Below are 17,200 nucleotides of genomic sequence, written 5' to 3' on the forward strand. Positions count from 1 at the left end.
GGAGGGGCTGGGTGGGTCTGGCTGGTACAAGATGGGGTGGTCTGGGTTTATTTTTGGCAGGGCGGGGCTGGGGCCAGGGGGTGGAAGATGGGAGCCGGGGGTGGAGAGGAGCCGCTGCTCTCATCCCGGGGGGAGCCCCAGGGCTCCATGCCAACTTAGGAAAGTGGCTTTCCAATGCCAGGGAGTCCTGGCAGGCTGGGCTGCTTCTCAGCCCCATTCCAGGCCTAGCCTGCCTTGCTGCTTGGCCCAGGACAAGCAGCTGGCTCTCTCTAGATAGAGGCAGAGGCCCCTGTCCTGTTCCCAAGAGGCTCAAGCTCAGAATTTAGAGCTGACCTAGGAGACTGAAGATTCCACCCAGAGGCCCAGATAGGGCCAGGGGTCTCCCCAAGGCCACATAGCAGGGCCAGGTAGCCCAAGGGCTGTGGCACCATCAGCCAGCTGGCTCAGGCCTCTACAATATCTCGCTGGCCCCAGGGCTGTCCACGGTTGGAGGGACAGCCCCCGTCTGAGTACCCACCCCTGGAGGGGCTCAGCCAGGCTCCAGATGGGTGGCCAGAAGCACACGGGCCCCAGATGCCCAGAGATGGAACCTTGGCCAGGGGCAGCCACCTGGATTCCATTAAAACATGTGGGTGGGGGGCCTGGCCGGGCCCTGTCCAGGGGTCTGTGGAGAAGAGTCACCTCTACGTGGGTGAAGGCAGTGGGGGCCTGCACAATGGGATCTTGCCCTGAGGGCTCAGGCACAGGCCTGCCCTTGTCCGGGGTCCCTCCAGTGTCCCTGCCCCGAGCTGTGCACCCCACTCTGCAGTCACCTCAGTCACCTCCCCACACCTCCCCCTACTCTGAGCTCACATACACCCATACCACTGAGGGGTCCTAGCAGCCCAGAGCGGAGAGGGCTGTCCCCTCCCTCAGTCCGGATTTCTGCTCCTCGTGATGCAGCCACCACTGCTTATATCATGAGTGGTGGTAACAGCCCCATGGTGACTCTGGCAGGTGAGCTGTCCCACGTCCCTGGGCCCTGGCCTCCAGCCCCCACCTCCAGAGAGGGACTCGCGAGGGGTTGGTAGAGAGCAGGGAAAAGACAGGCTTCTAGGGTCCCCGTCCCATAAAAGGTCTTGGGGCCTGCTCATTCTCTTCTCCTCACTCACCTGCTCTGGGGACAGGGGGTTCCTGCTGTGCCCCGGCCCAGTGAGCCCCATCCTAGGGGCTGTTAGGCTTGGGAGAAACAGGCCCTGGGGAGGGCCAGGCAGGGGCTGTCCCCACTTCTTCTAGCACTGAGAGAGGGGTGTGGGCCTCAGCCCAGTTAGCCACAGAGATGCAGACCCCCACCCCCTCCCACCTTCTGAAGGGTCCTGGGCTGGCAGGCAGCCGCTGGCTGATACCCTCTCCAGAGCCCACCTCTCCTTTTCCATGTCACTTAGTCCCACACAGACTCACGGGGCCACCTCCTCTAGGCCTTTGCCTCGGAATCTTCCTTAAACACTCCTAAGCAGAAGTCCCCATGTTGCCGGGCCACTCCACCCTGGGAAGAAGATGCTAATAGCAGAGTGACTGCAGCTTCAGGAGCAGATGTCCACCGAGCATTGATTCCAGGCAAAGTGTCTTGCTTAATCCTTACAACACGTAAGAGGTTGGAATTATTTATCCCCATTTTAGAGAGGAGAAAACTGAGGCTCAGAAAGACAGAGTCACTTGCCCAAGGTCATGCATAGAGCGTCAGGGCTGGAATTCAACCTGAGCTCTCTAATGCCGTGTTTCACCACCATGTGCCTGGCCTCCTGCTTCCCTGTGTGGGTTCCCACAGCTCAGGACTCAGAGGAGGGAGAGATGGGGCCTGGGTCAGGGCTGAGGGGCAGGGGAGGGGCTCCCTCTCAGCTGCTCGCAGACTCCCAAAAAGGGTGATTTGCTCCTCCTTGACCAGGGTGGGAAGTAAAAGTGTGTGTGTGTATCTGTGTCTGTATGTGTCTGTGTGCATATGTGTGTGTCTGTGCCTGTGTGTATATGTCTGTGTGCGTGTGTGTGTGCGTATGTGTGTCTGTGTGCATGTGTCTGTGTCTGTATGTCTGTGTGTATCTATGTCTGTGTGTGCCTGTGTGCGTATGTCTGTGTCTCTGTGTGTGTGTGGCTAGGCCTCAGGCCTGCCTGGCTGGACTCTAGCTGCAGGAGAGCTGGTCTGGCCCCAGCAACTGTGCACAGGGAAGGGGCAGGGAGAAGCGGGTGTCGTGGGAATCAGTGTCCTGGTCCCACTGGTATTTATAGCTGCCCCTTCCTGAAATGTGGGTGGGGGAAGGGGCTGCTCTTAGGTGGGAACGGAAGTTCGTCTCCTCTCCCCAGCCCCCTCTGTCTCCCCAGAGAGTGGACTGGCCCAGGCCAGAGGGCCTGCCCTGGCGGGGGAACGAGGCACTGTGTCCTGATTTTGGGGGTTTTCCCTGGGGCTGCTGGCTCGGGGCAGGACACTCTCCTTGCCTACTGAGCAATACTGCGTGTGTGTGAGTGTGTATGTGTGAGTGTATGTATGTGTGTGTGAATGTGTATGTGTGTGTGTGAGTGTGTGTGTGCACACACACGCATGTGCACTTACTGGGTGTCAGGCTGAAGAAGGTCATGAACCGGGGACAGAGGCCAGGTGAGGGTAGGGGAAGAAAGGCCTGTAACCCCACAGAGATGGAGGGCAGGGCCCCAGGAGAGGGGCCATCCAGGTCATGGGTCTCAGAGCAATCTGTGGTTAGAACAGGCTCCTGGGGGTGGCGATACTGGAGCTGAGCCTTGGAGGATGGGGGAAAAGGGAAGGCCTGTTGCATGGAGCAGCTTGAGTAGAAGTGGAAAGGTGCCAGCGGTTGTGGATTATTATCTGATGGCCTAGTTCTATCTGATCAGCCAGTCCGTGGGACACAGGATCACCTTGACCAGGGAGGATGATATATTTGGGGAGAGAAGGACATAGCACAGCACAGTTGAGCATCCCTAATCTGAAAATTCAAAATCCAAATGCCCCTAAATCCAAAATTTTTTGAGTGCCAATAGGATACCACCAGTGGAAAATCTCACACATAAGAACTTTTTTTTTTTTTTTTTTTAGATGAACCCTCACTGACTCTGTCACCCAGGCTGGAGTGCAGTGACGCGATCTTAGCTCACTGCAACATCTGCCTCCCAGGTTCAAGCGATTCTCATGCCTCAGTATCCTGAGTAGCTGGGATTACAGGTGTCGCCAGCACGCCCAGCTAATTTTTGTATTTTTAGTAGAGACAGGGTTTCACCATGTTGGCCAGGCTGGTCTCGAACTCCTGAGCTCAGGTGACCTGCCTGCCTCAGCCTCCCAAAGTGCTGGGATTACAGGCGTGAGCCACCGCGCCTGGCCTCCACACATAAGAACTTAACATAAATTTCTCTCAGGCACAAAATTTCTTTAAAAAAATCTATAATGTTACCTTCAGCCTATGTGTATAAGGTGTATATGAAACATAAATCAATTTCATGTTTAGACTTGGGTCCCATCTTCAAAATATCTCACTATATATAACAAATATTCCAAAAGCCAAAAAATTCCAAAATCTGAAACACTTCAGGTCCCCAACATTTCAGATAAGGGACACTCAGCCAGTGTGGAGTGAGGGCCAGCAGGCAGTGGGCAGGAGTGGGAAGCTGGGGCAGGAGAGGCCACACAGCCCCAGGCCTGCTGTGAGGAAGCTGGGACCACCTTCTGCTCCCGGCCTCCAGGCTCCCAGACTTGGGGAAGGACATCTTCCAAGGGCCCTTAGTACCAATCTTCATGGAACCCAATCTATAAACAGGTTTGTGGAGTGGCTCTGCATGAATTGGGGTGGGGCAGGCGTCCCATATTCCCAAGCTCAGCTGCCTCCAGGCCGGCTCAGCTGGAGAGCCCTGGGGTGCGCTGGAGTGCAGTCAGAAAATCCCTGGTTGGCTCAGTGATCTCTACACCCCTCTGGGGGCCAGGCTGTGAGCCCTACAATGGGGGAGACCCCTGAGCAAAGCAGGTGGGATGTGTGCTCCCGGGGAGCTGCTGGTCCTGAGGGTGAAGCTACCCCCCAAACCAGGGCCAAAGAGTAGGGAGCCCTCCCCCTAATCTCCTGAGGACTCACTGTGTGACTCTGAACAAGCAGGCTCCTCTGTCTGAGCCCGGGTTTCCCCAGGATCCATGGGGGGCTGGTCTGGGGTCAGGGGTTTCTGCAGTAAGTTCCGGGAAGGGAGGCAGCGTCACTGACACACCTCAACCTTAGGCCGCAGGAGAGCCACACACTGAAGTGTTGAAGCAGGAGCGATGGCTGGAGGCCTGGCTAACGCATGCATGCCAGGGCTGGCAGAGCCAGCGGCCTCCTCCACAGGCTGGGAGCCGGCCTGGGTGTGGGAAGGAGCTGAGCGAGAGGCAGGAATGCTCAACAGGACAGGCACTGTCCCTGATGGGGCCCACCCCTGCCACCAGGCCACCTTGACAGCAGCCCTACAGCTATCACCCTACATCAGAGACAAAAGTGGCTTCATTGGCAACCCTAGCTTTGGGGGGAGAGGGTTTTTTGAAGGGGATTTGCTTAGGCTGTGAGAAAGTGGGGAGGGTTTGGAAAGGGAGAGAACGCTGGCTGGTGGGGGATGGGGAGACAGAACAAACATCTGGAGTCCTCAGCGAGCTGTCTGTCCCTGCAGACCTCTCTCTTTCCCCTGCTGGGGCCTGAGCCCACTGGTGGGTGGTTGTCCACCTGGCCTGATGTGGGGAAACTCGCTGCTGTTGGGGTGAGTGAGAACACCACGGCCTGTGTGCCCAAAGAGAGACCTGAGGCAGTCCCTGCTTTTCTCTGAGCCTCAGTTTCCTCATCTGTAAAATAGGACTGTTGGACAGGTATGGTGGTTCACACCTGTAATCCCAGCACTTTGGGAGTCCCAGGTGGGAGGCTTGCTTGAGCCCAGGAGTTCGAGACCAGCCTGGGCAACATAGTGAGACCTCGTCTCTACAAAAAATAATTACCCTGGTGTGGTGGCACATGCTTGAAGTCCCAGCTACTCAGGAGGCTGAGGTGGGGAGATCGCTTGAGCCTGGGAGGTTGAGGCTGCAGTGACTGTTTCCTGACCTGCAGGGCTGCTGTGGGGCTGCAGGACTAACAACATGGTTAGTGCACACTATGGGGTGTCCCTGAAGGTAAGAGCACAGCAATAAGACAGCTCTGTCCTCTCCTGTTTGGAGTTACGGACCCTCCTGAGAAGCGGAGAGAGCTAGGAACCCTTGCCCCACGGAGGAGCCAAGTACAAAATTGTTCATACAAATTCAGTTCATTCAAAAATTCCTCATACAAACTCAGTAGGAATGGTAATACAGTAAATCTGAAACCTGCCCTAAGCCTGCAGCTGGAGGAAGAGCCTTAACTCTGGAAGGCTCTATTGAACTGACATATGCTGGGGCGGAGGGCATGTTGGAGGCAAGAGGAGAGCTGGATGGGGCGGGAGTCAGGGGGAAAGGCAGTGAAGGAGCAGAGGGACCAGGGAGGGACCAGGCCTCAGTCCCATGCCCACAGGCCCCTTGTTCATTTGCCCCTGGCCTTGAATAGAAGACACACCTCAGGTGGCACCCCTGTCCCCATCCTGTGCTCACTTCCTTCCCCGCAAGTGCCACTGGCCCAGATCTTTAAGGTAGGGGACTTGGAGACAGAGGCAGTAGCCACCTCGTCCAGGTCTGTGAGAGTGGCCGTGTGCAAGTGTGTGTGCCCACATCTGTGTGCGCCAGTAAGTGCGGACGTCAAGGCTATTTCCAACTCCCCCTCCCCTGCCCGCCCCTCCTGGGCAGCACGCCCAGTTCCCAGACACAGCCTATACACTTCCTCTGAGAGCTCCACACGCACCCTACTCCCCTCCTGCCGTCATCGACAGCCGCCTGGCCCACCTGGCATGGCCCACCCCAGGCCCCCCAGGCGGGCAGCACTAAAAGGCCCTTCTTGTCCTGCCCGGGCGGGCAGGCGTAGGGAGGGAGGCTCCGTTACACTTGCTCTAGAACAGTTTTTCTCGAGTCCGGGTGGGCTGGGCCAAGGGCTCTGGCCCCTGGGCCCTGCCCTGCTCCGGAGGCCTGGGGTGGCACACAAGGTGCACACAAGGCTCAGTGCCTGTCCCGAGCACCATCGGTCCCCCCAAGCCATCCTCAGAGGCAGCAGGATCTACCCTGCTTCAATTTCTTGTACCTGGTGTCCCTGTGGCCCTGCTCACTAAGATACCCCCATCAGTTCTGAGTCCCCACCCAGGTAACACACAAGCCCTCCCTGCCAGGTACTCCCCAACCTGGGTCCCACTTCAACCCCTCACATTCTGCCTTTCAGTCAGTGATGCCAGGGAAGAGGTGTGGGAGCCACCACCCCTGCCTGCCCTGTGCTCACTGTGACCCCCCGACTAGAATGTCACCTCCTTCCTTCTCTGCCTGTCCTTCCAGTATCAGCTCAAATCCAATCTCCCCCAATGCTTGGCTCTCTGCTGGGGCCTCCCATACAGCTCAGAAGGAGCTGGACACCGCATCTGTCACCCACACTGTCTCAGTGGCCCAAGCCTAGGCCCCGACGCAGGCTGGGAGCACCCTCGAAGCAGGGCTGGGGGCTCTTCCTGGGCTGCTGGGGTTCTTGGTGGAACTCAGAGTACTTTTCTTCCTCTCTGGGGCCTCAGTTTCCCTCTCTATACAAGTGGAAGATTGGCCCAGATGGCCTCTAGGGTGCTGACTGCCAGGCCCCCTGACCTGGATGCCTCAAATGTTGATGAGTAGAGGGAGAGCCTCCCAGCACGCCTCATTCGGATACGGGAGGACGAGGGCCTTTGCAGCCAGGGGCATCCAGGAGGGGTGGGAGGGACGCCTTCCTCAGGCAGGGGCTGCCCCTACTGCAGAAATCAGGGCAGGCAGCTGGACCAGGAGTGGTGACAGAGATGGGTTGCTGGACGGGAGCTCTCACAGCCCCTCCTCATTTCCGAGTCCTCCTAAAGGCAGGGGATGGTGTAACTTTATAAAACCCCACAGCACCATGCTGCTCTCTTGCCCTAAAACCCTTGTGGCATCTCCTTTGCCAACAGGGCATAAGGCCGTGGGCTTCATTTTGCCATTTAAGGCTTCTGTGCCCCAGCCCAGTGGTTCTCCCTGGCCTGTGCTCGAAATACGCCTCCCAGCCAGGCTGCTGGCCTTCCTGTCTCAACACCCCTCTGCTTACGCCCACCTTGGTGCCTCTGAGTCAGCGCCCCTGCCTGGAGGACTGACTCCCTTCCCATCCACCAAGGCTTGGTTTGAGGCCCACCCTGTGTCCTGCCCCAGCTTGCCCCTGCTTTTCTCCCCTCTGTACTTTTCATCCAGATTTTTGCTGTTTGAGATTTAATTTGCCTTTCTGCCTCCTGAATGAGTCTCAGTTCAGCCTCTCAATTTCCCGTGCCCCTGCGAGCCTAGCACCATGCCTGCATGCTGTCAGGGCTAAGAAGGTATTTGAGAATGGCTCTCAGTTGAAGCCCAAGGAGGTGGGGGTACTGGAATCCCTCCTTGGCTGGAGGCTGGGGCCTGAATGAGCTGACCACCCTGGTCACCTTGGATGCTCCCTTCCCATCTCCCTGGCGGCCCAGCCCATCCCTCAGGCCCTGAGATCTTAGGGGATCTGGTCCCTGCAGGAACAGGGAGCCTGGAGATCCAGCCCTGATTCACCCCGCGGGGGTCCTCCCTTGACTCACTTCCCTTCTGGGAACCATGTGATGCCCTCTTTTAGAGCTGGCTTCTCCATCTGAAGGAGAGAAGGGTGTGGCCTGGGCCCTTGTGAAGGAGGCTCAGGCCCTGCCTTTGCTCCATGTTGCTCTTGGGAATGATCTCGAAGGTGTAGCTGAAGCACTGAATCACACGTGGGTAGTGATGATGGATGGGCCCTAAGGCCACAGTTCTTATGGCATAACTAGAGCTGCCTTCGCTGAAGGAAGAATGCTGTCATGTTGGGGTTTCTGGCATCGGGACAGAGAGGGGATATATCCCAGCACTTCTCGGAAAGCGAACTTCCATTCAGCCTCTGCTGGGTCAGGCATCAGTGCTGGGATGAGGAGGTGTGGCAGGGGGTGGTCCAGAGCTATCTGTAGGACAAGCCCCGCTGAGGGGCACCAGCTCTCCCTCTAGGAGGCTGAGAGTGGGTAGTGGGTGGGGGGTCCTGCCTGTCACCAACAGGAGGAGGGAGAGGAGAGAATGAAGAGGGGAGGTGGCAGATAGACGGATCTGCAAGGAAGCAAGGGGAGGAAAGAAGGGGCAGAGCTGGGGGGCAGCTGGAGGGGTGTGGGGGTGCTCCTCACAGGGGAGGGCAGGGTGGCTCATTCCTCGTTTCCCACCTTGTAGCACTCCCCATTCCTGGCCCAGGGCATCTGAAGCTGGAGGACCCACTTCTCACTGTCGCCGGGTCCCTTTGGACCCCAACATACTCACCCCAAACTTGCCTGGCAAACAAAGCTCGGCCAGCATTGGGGTGGCCCCACTGGTGTCTCAGACAATCCAAACGGGCAAAGCCACGCCCTAGGCAATCCATGCCTGGGGCGCCTGCTCCCGCCCCTAACTGGACAGCCTTGGCTAGCTAGAAACCCCATAACCTGAGATAGCGGGGTCCCGTGTCCGCCCCAGGATTGAACCCCTGGCGACCCCAGCTAGTGGTGGGAGAAGCGCAGCCTGCTTGACTCCCGATCTGGGGGCCACTTCTGGCTCCTCCTGTCCCTTTTCCCTCCCGGAGGAACCCCTCTAGTTCCGCCAGGCTGGGTCGGGGTCTCAGGCCCCTCACTCACCCGCGGATGCAAGTCTGGCCAACATAGTCAGGGTCAAAGCCAAGGCCAGGCCGGGGGCTGGAAGTGGGGGCCGCGGCCCGGACTGCATCCCGGCGGGCTGGGCGGCAGGACTTGCGAGGAGCCAGCGGAGTCCTGGGAGCTGGGAGCTGAGTGGAGCGAGCGCGGCTCTGCTCCTGGGCGCGGGCCGGCTCCGGGTGTCCGCGCACTTAACTCCGGGGGCGGGGCAGGCGCAGACCCGCGCGCCCGCTCGGGTTTCAGGCTTGGACTCCCCCACCTGCCCCCACCCTCAACCTTCTTAAAGGGCCCGTGCGGGGCTGTTCCTCTCTGGGGCAGGGGTGAGGGGGCCCTTGCAGCTGGGCCAGACCCCAGCCCCACCCTAAAGACTTAGAACAAAGTCATAGAGAGGCCCAGACACCCTGAACTCTGGCCCCAAGAGCCGAGCCCGGGAGACCCCCTCAGGGAGGAGGCATGAACTGTCCCAGCCCCTACTTCCCTCCTTTCTGCCTTTGCGGGAGTTCAGGAGACCCCTCCACAGGCACACTCCAGCCTTAGGAGGAAGGACAGACACCAGCCACCCTCACAGGCGGCTTTTGGGCTGCTTTGCCTCGGAGGTCCCCTAGGAACTTCTCCAGACTCCAGAGGCACCACCCGAGGTCCTGTGGGGCACTGCCCATGGCTGCAACAGTGACCTTCTCTGCCTGGAAGGGCCTCACCTCAGTCTCCCTGTCTGTAAGGGAGAGATGTCTGGATTTCCTCGCAGGGCAGAAGAATTCTCAGTCCCGCCATGACATTTGCCTCAAAATAACCTTGCAAGGTGGGTGAGGAGCATCCCCTCCCCCATTTCATGGAGGACGAAAGTGCAGCTCAAGCTGAAAGTGGCTCTTACAAGACTCCAGGTGGAAAGTAGGTCCCTGGCCGTTTGGTGCCAGAAGCCCAGGCCTCCTGACCCCTGAATCCGGGTGTTTCAACTTCCCGAGGCTGCCTCCTGGAAATCTGGCCCTGGATTTGGCTTCTACCTAACAGCTTCAGGCTGGGGCCCTTCTGCTGGCTCCCTTCCAGGCAGCAACATCAGCCTAGTCCCAAACAGGAGGAGAAAGGGCAATGTTACTTAGCTTCCGGTGCCTAGAGGATCTGCGTGTTCTCTGTCCAGTCCCAATGTTACCGGGCCTTGGTTTACTTCCTCCATTCAGGTCCCTCCATCTATCTGCTCCAGCCCATCTCCAGCCCAACCCCACCTTGCACCCTCTTCCCAGCTCTTCCCTTTGACCAGTAACAGCCCAGCACTTCATACTTTGCAACGAAACTGAGACCTGTTTTGCAGATGAAGAAACTGAGGCTGAGAGAGATTAAGGGACTGGAGCTAGTCTACATAGCTGCTGAGATGTGGGGCCAGGTCTTTGACCCTAAGTGCAGTGCTCAGGTGTGATGGTGCCTGGTCCATGTGGGGGTTATGAGTATTGGTCTTGAAACCAGAGAGACCTGGGTTCAAATCCCAGCTCCCTTACTTGGTTGTCAAACCTTGAACAAGTCCCCTCACCTCTCTGTGGCAGTTTCCTCATTTGTAAAATTGGGTTAATGAGGATTAAATGCTTTAATGTACCTCAAGTCCCTAGCCCAGGGCCTGGCATACGGTAGGTGCTCAATAAATGCTTATCCTTTCTCCTCCGTCTCTGTCATCCTGCACATTCCCTGTGATTCATGGTTTACATACAGCTTTACACATATCACCTCCCTTGTTGTAAAGCTTGAACTTTCTCCTCCAGAGGCTGCTGCATACAGTAGGTGTACAATAAATGCCTGCTGTAGTTGACTAAGAAACCAATTGCTGCTGTTCTGTAGGGATTTTGGCAAACCTAAGAGCTTCCATCCAGGTGCCCTAGGAGGCCTGGGATGGAGGCTGTGCTAGGCTGGCCTCAGTGGCGGTAAAGGCATTGATTCCACAATTTGTCCCTTGTTTTTTTTTTTTTTTTTTTTGAGACAGAGTCTCGCTCTGTTGCCCAGGCTGGAGTGTAATGGCGCGATCTCGGCTCACTGCAACCTCTGCCTCCCGGGTTCAAGCGATTCTCCTGCCTCAGCCTCCTGAGTAGCTGGGATTGCAGGTGTGCACCACCATGCCTGGCTAATTTTTGTATTTTTAGTAGAGATGGGGTTTCACCATGTTGACCAGGCTGGTCTTGAACTCCTGACCTCGTGATCTGCCCGCCTCAGCCTCCCAAAGTGCTGGGATTACAGGTGTGAGCCACCGCGCCCGGCTGTCCCTTGTTTTTCCTTCTCCTCAAGTCGGTAGGACACCTGGTCCTCATTAGGGGCTAATTACTGACAAGCTATGGGGCTGGGGGTGGGGGTGCTGCTTGGAAGACTGTGTTTGGAGGAAAAGAGCTTTCTTTTCAGGAATGAAAAAATAAGACAGAAGGCTTTTTGCTCTATGAATCAAAAATCTGGGTGAAGATCTCTGCTGGCCCCATCTCCCCCCCCCACCCCCTCCCCATCTTCCCTGCTCCCCACCTACACAGATGTCTGTGGAGCCTCCAGACAGGGTGCTCCCACCCACAGCTGAGATTCAAGTCTGGATTAGCTGGGAGCCTCCCCCTGCCTTGTTGCTAGCTGGGCAGAGAAACACAGGCCTGGAAAATAATGGCAACCAGCACAGCGGTAATAACCCGGCTGGCGCATCTCTGCTGGGGCTTCCCAGTTTACAAAAAACATTCACTTGGTCTCTTGACAACTTTGGGAAGCGTATGTGTTGGCCAACTGTGTCCCTGCTTCCAGATGAGGAAACTGAGGCTCTCAGTGGAAAAGGGATGCTGCGGCTCCAGCGCACACAGGCCTGGCCTTTGCTCAGCCGTAACCTAGGGCTGGAACTCCGGACCAATGCTGAGCAGCATCATGCCAGGCAGACTGGCAGAAAGTCGAGGTCCCTGTGTGCCTTTGGAACTGACCCCTGACCACCTCCCACTGTCTTGGAACAAAGGCTGCTGGACCAGCTGTGCCTGCTCCTCAACTGTCCCCTCTCCAGCTCCTCAGCAAGCTCACCCAAGGCCCTGAAGCCTCAGTGCTGAACAGAGCTGACCTGGGCCTCTCTGGCATCCTCAGGTCTGGCTCGGGCCTTCTTCCTTCTGCCCTCCAACCTTTCCCATGACTTTGCTTGGCCAGGCATCCTTGGTGGCCATCCCTGACTGCCCCTACCTCCCTGGCCACATCTCACCTTCCTCCAGCAAGCCCTCCTAGCCCTCCTTCGTGCTCGTCGACTTCTCTTTCAAAAGATTCCCTGGAATCCTGATCTCCGTAGCTCTCCTAGTTTCACCTGGGGCCTGCTTAGCTGGGTCAGGAGGTGTGCGTCCATGCCTCCCCAGCCAAGCATGGGACAGAGCACAGGGTGGGAGGGAGGAGGAAAGAAGGAGGCTTAGAACACACTTATAAGAAGGAAGAAGGATGTTCCCACCCAGGGGCAAAAGAAGATTCAAACTTCTCTGAAGCTACAGTGACCTGTGGTATGTGCTGCCTCCATTTCTCCAATTGTTCTTGGAGAACAAGACAACAGAGGGCCCAGTAATACTCACCTCCCTGCCAGCAGAGTTCACCCAACCATGCTGGCCAAGCACTGCTGGTCACTCCTACCTCTAGTGCTTCTTGGACTAAGAGTCCCCGCTCTGGGCAGTGGCTGTGGTTTGGCCCCACCCTTGGCCAGGGTGTTTTGCACCCTCGTTGCCTGGGCCCCACCCAAGAAGCCTGTGGCCAAAGCCAGCTTGCTGGGAAATGGTGTGTGCCTGTGCCCTAGATGGGGTGGTGCCTAAGCAGGGGTGTGCTCCTGCTGCCCAGGGCCCGCCCTCAGGGAATTGGCCCTCTGCCATGAAGGTCACAGAACCTAGGCCACTACTGTGCAAGAGGGCACGGGCTTTAGGCGCTGGCTCAGTGGCCCTGCAGTTTTCTGGCCAAGAGCTCCATGGCAGCGGGCCCTGGGCCTGGGCCTTTGACCTGGGGCCTCTGTTAGGAGTGGTCCTGATCCTGCTTCTGGCAGAGGCACACACAGGGCTCCTCCAAGTACAGGCAGCCAGGCTCAGGATGGGAGGGAGCAGCCAGTCCCAACAATTACACAGTTCGGGAGCTGAAAAGTTATGTTTGCCACTCTCAGGAGCCAGCTGTGGAAGGGAGGCCAGTGGAGGGCTTTGCCCTGGCCTCTGAGCCACACACAAGCCGTGCTGGGAGGACAAGGGCCGGGGGTGGTGAAGGACCCTCTTGGAGCCTTTGCTTTCCAGGAGCAGGCACTCGTCTTCCATATCACACTCACAAAGGCTGGTGGCTTCAGTGGCTGTGACCAGCTGGCCACAGCTGACTCCTCTGGGGTAGTGCTGTTTCTAAATATTAGTTCCTGCTGTTAACCCTTGCTGTGCGGCCCCAGTGGACAGCCGGCTGCCTGCAGACAGAGCCTCTTGGAAGTAGAGTGGACAGTCCCCACCTGGATGAAAAATTTGTGAGTATATTTGCTTGAGGGCTGGGTTGGGGCTCCCAGAAGGAGGGTGAGAAATACCTGCTTAGGGCTGGGAATGAGGCTTGCAGTAGATGTCAGGGGATGTGGGTCTGAGCTGGCCACTGGGCAGGGCAGTGGAAAGAATGTGGGGTCAGGAGCCAGGAGCCCGGTCCTGCCAAGCCTTTTTTTATGTGGCCCCAGACAAGTCACTTCGCCTTTCTGTACCCCTTTCCTCATCCGTAAAATGTACAGCCACCGAGGTGCTTGGATGATGGCCTCCAACAGAAGCGCCGGAGCTTTATAAACTCTGAAGTGCCTGGTGGTTATGATGATTTTTATGCCAGGGTCCTGCTGTCTGTGACTCCCCCGAGTCCCTTGGAGGAGAGGCAAGACTGACAACCAAGAGACAGCTGGAGCAAGCTGGCGGGGCTGCTGTTAGCCTGTGTGGAGCTTTAGTGGGGACACCACCCTATACAAGAATACCCAGCTTGGAGTTCAGCCCCTACTGGCCCCATTGGCTCTTGTCCTTGCACAGTGAAAAGCCTAGTGGTAGCCAGGCTCCAAGATGGCCCTCAGTGAGCCTCACCTTCTGGCATTCATGCCCTTGGGTAGCTCCCTCTCATGTTGAATACAGCCACCTTATGCAGCCAATAGGGTGTTGCAGAAATGATGAAGTGACGTCCAAGATGAGGTCAGAAAAGATATGGTAGCTTTTCCCTTGCTCTCTTCTGATTGCAGCCACCATGATCTGAGGATAATTAAGTAGACTGTGGAGGTGCCAATGTGGAGAGGAACTGAAGCCTCTTGCCAGCAGCCAGTATCAACTCACCACTCATGTGAATGAGCCATCTTGGAAGTGGATCTGCCAACCCTAATCAAATCTTAAGATTAATACAACCTCTACTTTTTTTTTTTTTTTTTTTTTTTAAGATGGAACCTAGCTTTGTTGCCCAGGCTGGAGTGCAGTGGTGTGATCTTGGTTCACTGCAACCTCTGCCTCCCGGATTCAAGTGATTCTCCTGCCTCACCCTCTCGAGTAGCTGGGATTACAGGCATGCACCACCATGTCCAGCTAATTTTTGTATTTTTAGTAGAGACGGGGTTTCACCATATTGGTCAGGGTGGTCTTGAACTACTAACCTCAAGTGATCCACCCGCCTTGGCCTCCCAAAGTGCTGGGATTACAGGCATGAGCCACCGTGCCTGACCTCTACTGACACCTTGACTGCCACCTCCTGAGAGACCTGGAGCCAAAACCACCCAGCAAAGTCACTTTTAAACTCCTGACCCACAGCAACTGTGTGCAACAGAAGGAAGTTGCTGTTTCAAGCAATTATATTTTGAAAGTAATTTGTTATGCAGCAAGAGATTACTGATAGAAGCCAGCACATCGTAGATGGCAGTCCAGTGAGTCAGACCTGGCACGTGCCTGGGGCTCAGAAAGCAGGACTCTGCTTCCATGAAAAGAAGTGACATTCCTTGATCAACAAATTCATTCATTCAACAAATATTTCTTAAGCACAGATCATATGTCAGGCACTATGCTGATGCTGAGGGCTGGGGACACAGGTGAATAAACAGGACCCTGGTTTTGGGGAACTGACAGGCTCCCCAAAGTGACTTGGCAATTGGTTGGATGTGGGAGTTGGGATAAGGGAGGTGTCCAGGACAAGCCTAGGTTTCTGGCTTGGGCACTTAGAAGGGTGGGTGGTGGTGTCATGGATTGAGATGGACAGGGACTGGGGGGTATCTCATAAGGAAATCTTGGGGCATGTTGATTTCAAGGTGCTTGTGAGAAACCCAGGTGACACTGTGCAGGCGGCTGTATATGTGAGCCTAATGCTCCTAAGAAGGTCTAGTCAGGGGAAGTTTTACTTCCGGATTGCTGGGGTATCGATAAGGGAATTAAAGCAACCAGAGGAGATGAGGCTGCCCGGGAGAGAGGAGCGCGGTGCAAAATGGGAGGAAGACCCAGCACTGAGCCCTGAGACACCAACGTCTCTTCCTTAAAATGTTTATTTTGACATAATTTCAGACTTAGATAAAAGTGGCAAGATGATTACAAATGTTTCCCACATACTCCACCTAGATTTCCCAAATGTTAATTGTTTACCACATTTTAAATTCTTTTCTCTCTCTCTCTCTTTTTTTTTTTTTAGATGGAGTCTCACTGTTTCCAGGCTGGAGTACAGTGGTGCATTCTCAGCTCACTGCAACCTCTGCCTCCCAGGTTCAAGCGATTCTCCTGCCTCAGCTTCCCGAGTAGCTGGGACCACAGGCACGTGCCACCAAGCCCAGCTAATTTTTTGTATTTTTTTTTTTTTTTTTTTTTTTTTTTGGAGATGGAGTGTTGCTCTGTCGCCCAGGCTTGAGTACAGTGCAGTGGCCCCATCTTGGCTCACTGCAAGCTCCGCCTCCTGGGTTCACGCCATTCTCTTGCCTCAGCCTCCCGAGTAGCTGGGACTACAGGCGCCCGCCACCACGCCCGGCTAATTTTTTTTTTTTTTTTGTATTTTTAGTAGAGACAGGGTTTCACCTTGTTAGCCAGGATGGTCTCGATCTCCTGACCTTGTGATCCGCCTGCCTTGGCCTCCCAAAGTGCTGGGATTACAGGCGTGAGCCACCGCACCTGGCCAATTTTTTGTATTTTTAGCAGAGATGGGGTTTTACTGTGTTAGCCAGGGTGGTCTCTATCTCCTGACCTCGTAATTTGCCCGCCTCGGCCTCCCAAAGTGCTGGGATTACAAGCATGAGCCACCACACCCGGCCATCTCTCTCTCTATTTTTCTGAACCATTTGAAAGTAAGTTGCAGACATAATGCTCCTTTATTCCTAAATATTTCAGTGAGTTTTTCCTCTTTTTTAATTTTTTTTTTAAAATGAGACAGGGTCTCGCTCTGCTGCCCAGGCTGGACTGCAGTGGTGCCATCAGAGCTCACCACACCATCAAACTTCTGGACTCAAGGGAGCTTCCTGCTTGAGTAGATGGGATTACAGGCACACACCACCGTGCCTGGCTATTTTTTTTTTTCTTTTTTGGTAGTGACAGGGTCCCACTGTGTTGTCCAGGCTGGTCTCGATCTCCTGGGCTCAAGCAGTATTTCCTAGAACAGGACCTTCTCTTTCATAACTGGAGTGCAATGATCAAAACCAGGAAATTAACATTGGTACAATACTTTGAACTAAGCCATAGACTTTTTTCTCCCCAGCTTTGCCAATTTTCCCAAAAATATCCTTTATAACAAAAGAAAACCTCGGCTTTCTTCTGAGTGTCTATTCATCTTGCATGGTTCTTCAGCGTTTCATTGTCTTCCATGATGTTGCCATTTTTGACAAGTACAGGCCAGTTCTTTTAGGTGAATTTTGGTTTGAGTTTGTCTGTTTTCCTCATGATTAAATTCAGGTTCTGTATTGTGGCAGGAATGCCTAGGAAGTGATGCCGTGCCCTTCTCACGCAGCCTATCAAAAGACACATAACTGGCTGGGCGTGGTGGCTTACACCTGCAATCCCAGCGCTTTGGGAGGCCAAGGAGGGCAGATTACTTGAGGTCAGGAGTTCGAGACCAGCCTGGCCAACATGGTGAAACCCTGCCTCTCCTAAAAATACAAAAATTAGCTGGGCATGGTAGCAGGCTCCCCTAATCCCAGTTATTCAGGAGGCTGAGGCAGGAGAATTGCTTGAACCCAGGAGGCAGAGGTCATAGTGAGCTGAGATCACGCCACTGCACTCTAGCCTGGGTGACAGAGCAAAAGACTCTGTCTCCCCCAAAAATCCCCCACAAAAAAACCAAACAAACAAAACCAAGAGGCACACATCTATTGTGCAATCATTGGGATGTTGACTCGTATCACTTGGTTGAGGTGATGCCTGCCAGGCCTCTCTTCTATAAAGTTACTGTTTCCCCTTTGCAATGAATAAGCATACGCCAACATTGAAAGGTCAGGTTGAGGAAGGAA

General features: G+C 55.4%; 1 protein-coding gene across 2 annotated transcripts in view; it reads right to left on the reverse strand.

The window, feature by feature from the left end:
* CSPG4 (chondroitin sulfate proteoglycan 4) overlaps nt 1-9,574 on the reverse strand; it is a 39,145-nt gene extending 29,571 nt beyond the window's left edge. The window contains exon 1 of one of the 2 annotated variants that reach the window (XM_047432196.1): nt 9,489-9,574. Coding sequence is in view for 1 of the 2 variants with exons in the window: in NM_001897.5 (NP_001888.2) it covers nt 8,776-8,863 (88 nt within the window). In the remaining variant the exon portion in view is untranslated. Of the gene's footprint in view, nt 1-8,775; nt 8,957-9,488 lie in introns of those variants that run through there. The other variant, NM_001897.5, reaches the window with a different exon arrangement.
* Nucleotides 9,575-17,200: the final 7,626 nt, after the last annotated feature.

Source organism: Homo sapiens, chromosome 15 (genome assembly GCF_000001405.40).
Source record: "Homo sapiens chromosome 15, GRCh38.p14 Primary Assembly".
Taxonomy (NCBI): Eukaryota; Metazoa; Chordata; class Mammalia; order Primates; family Hominidae; genus Homo; species Homo sapiens.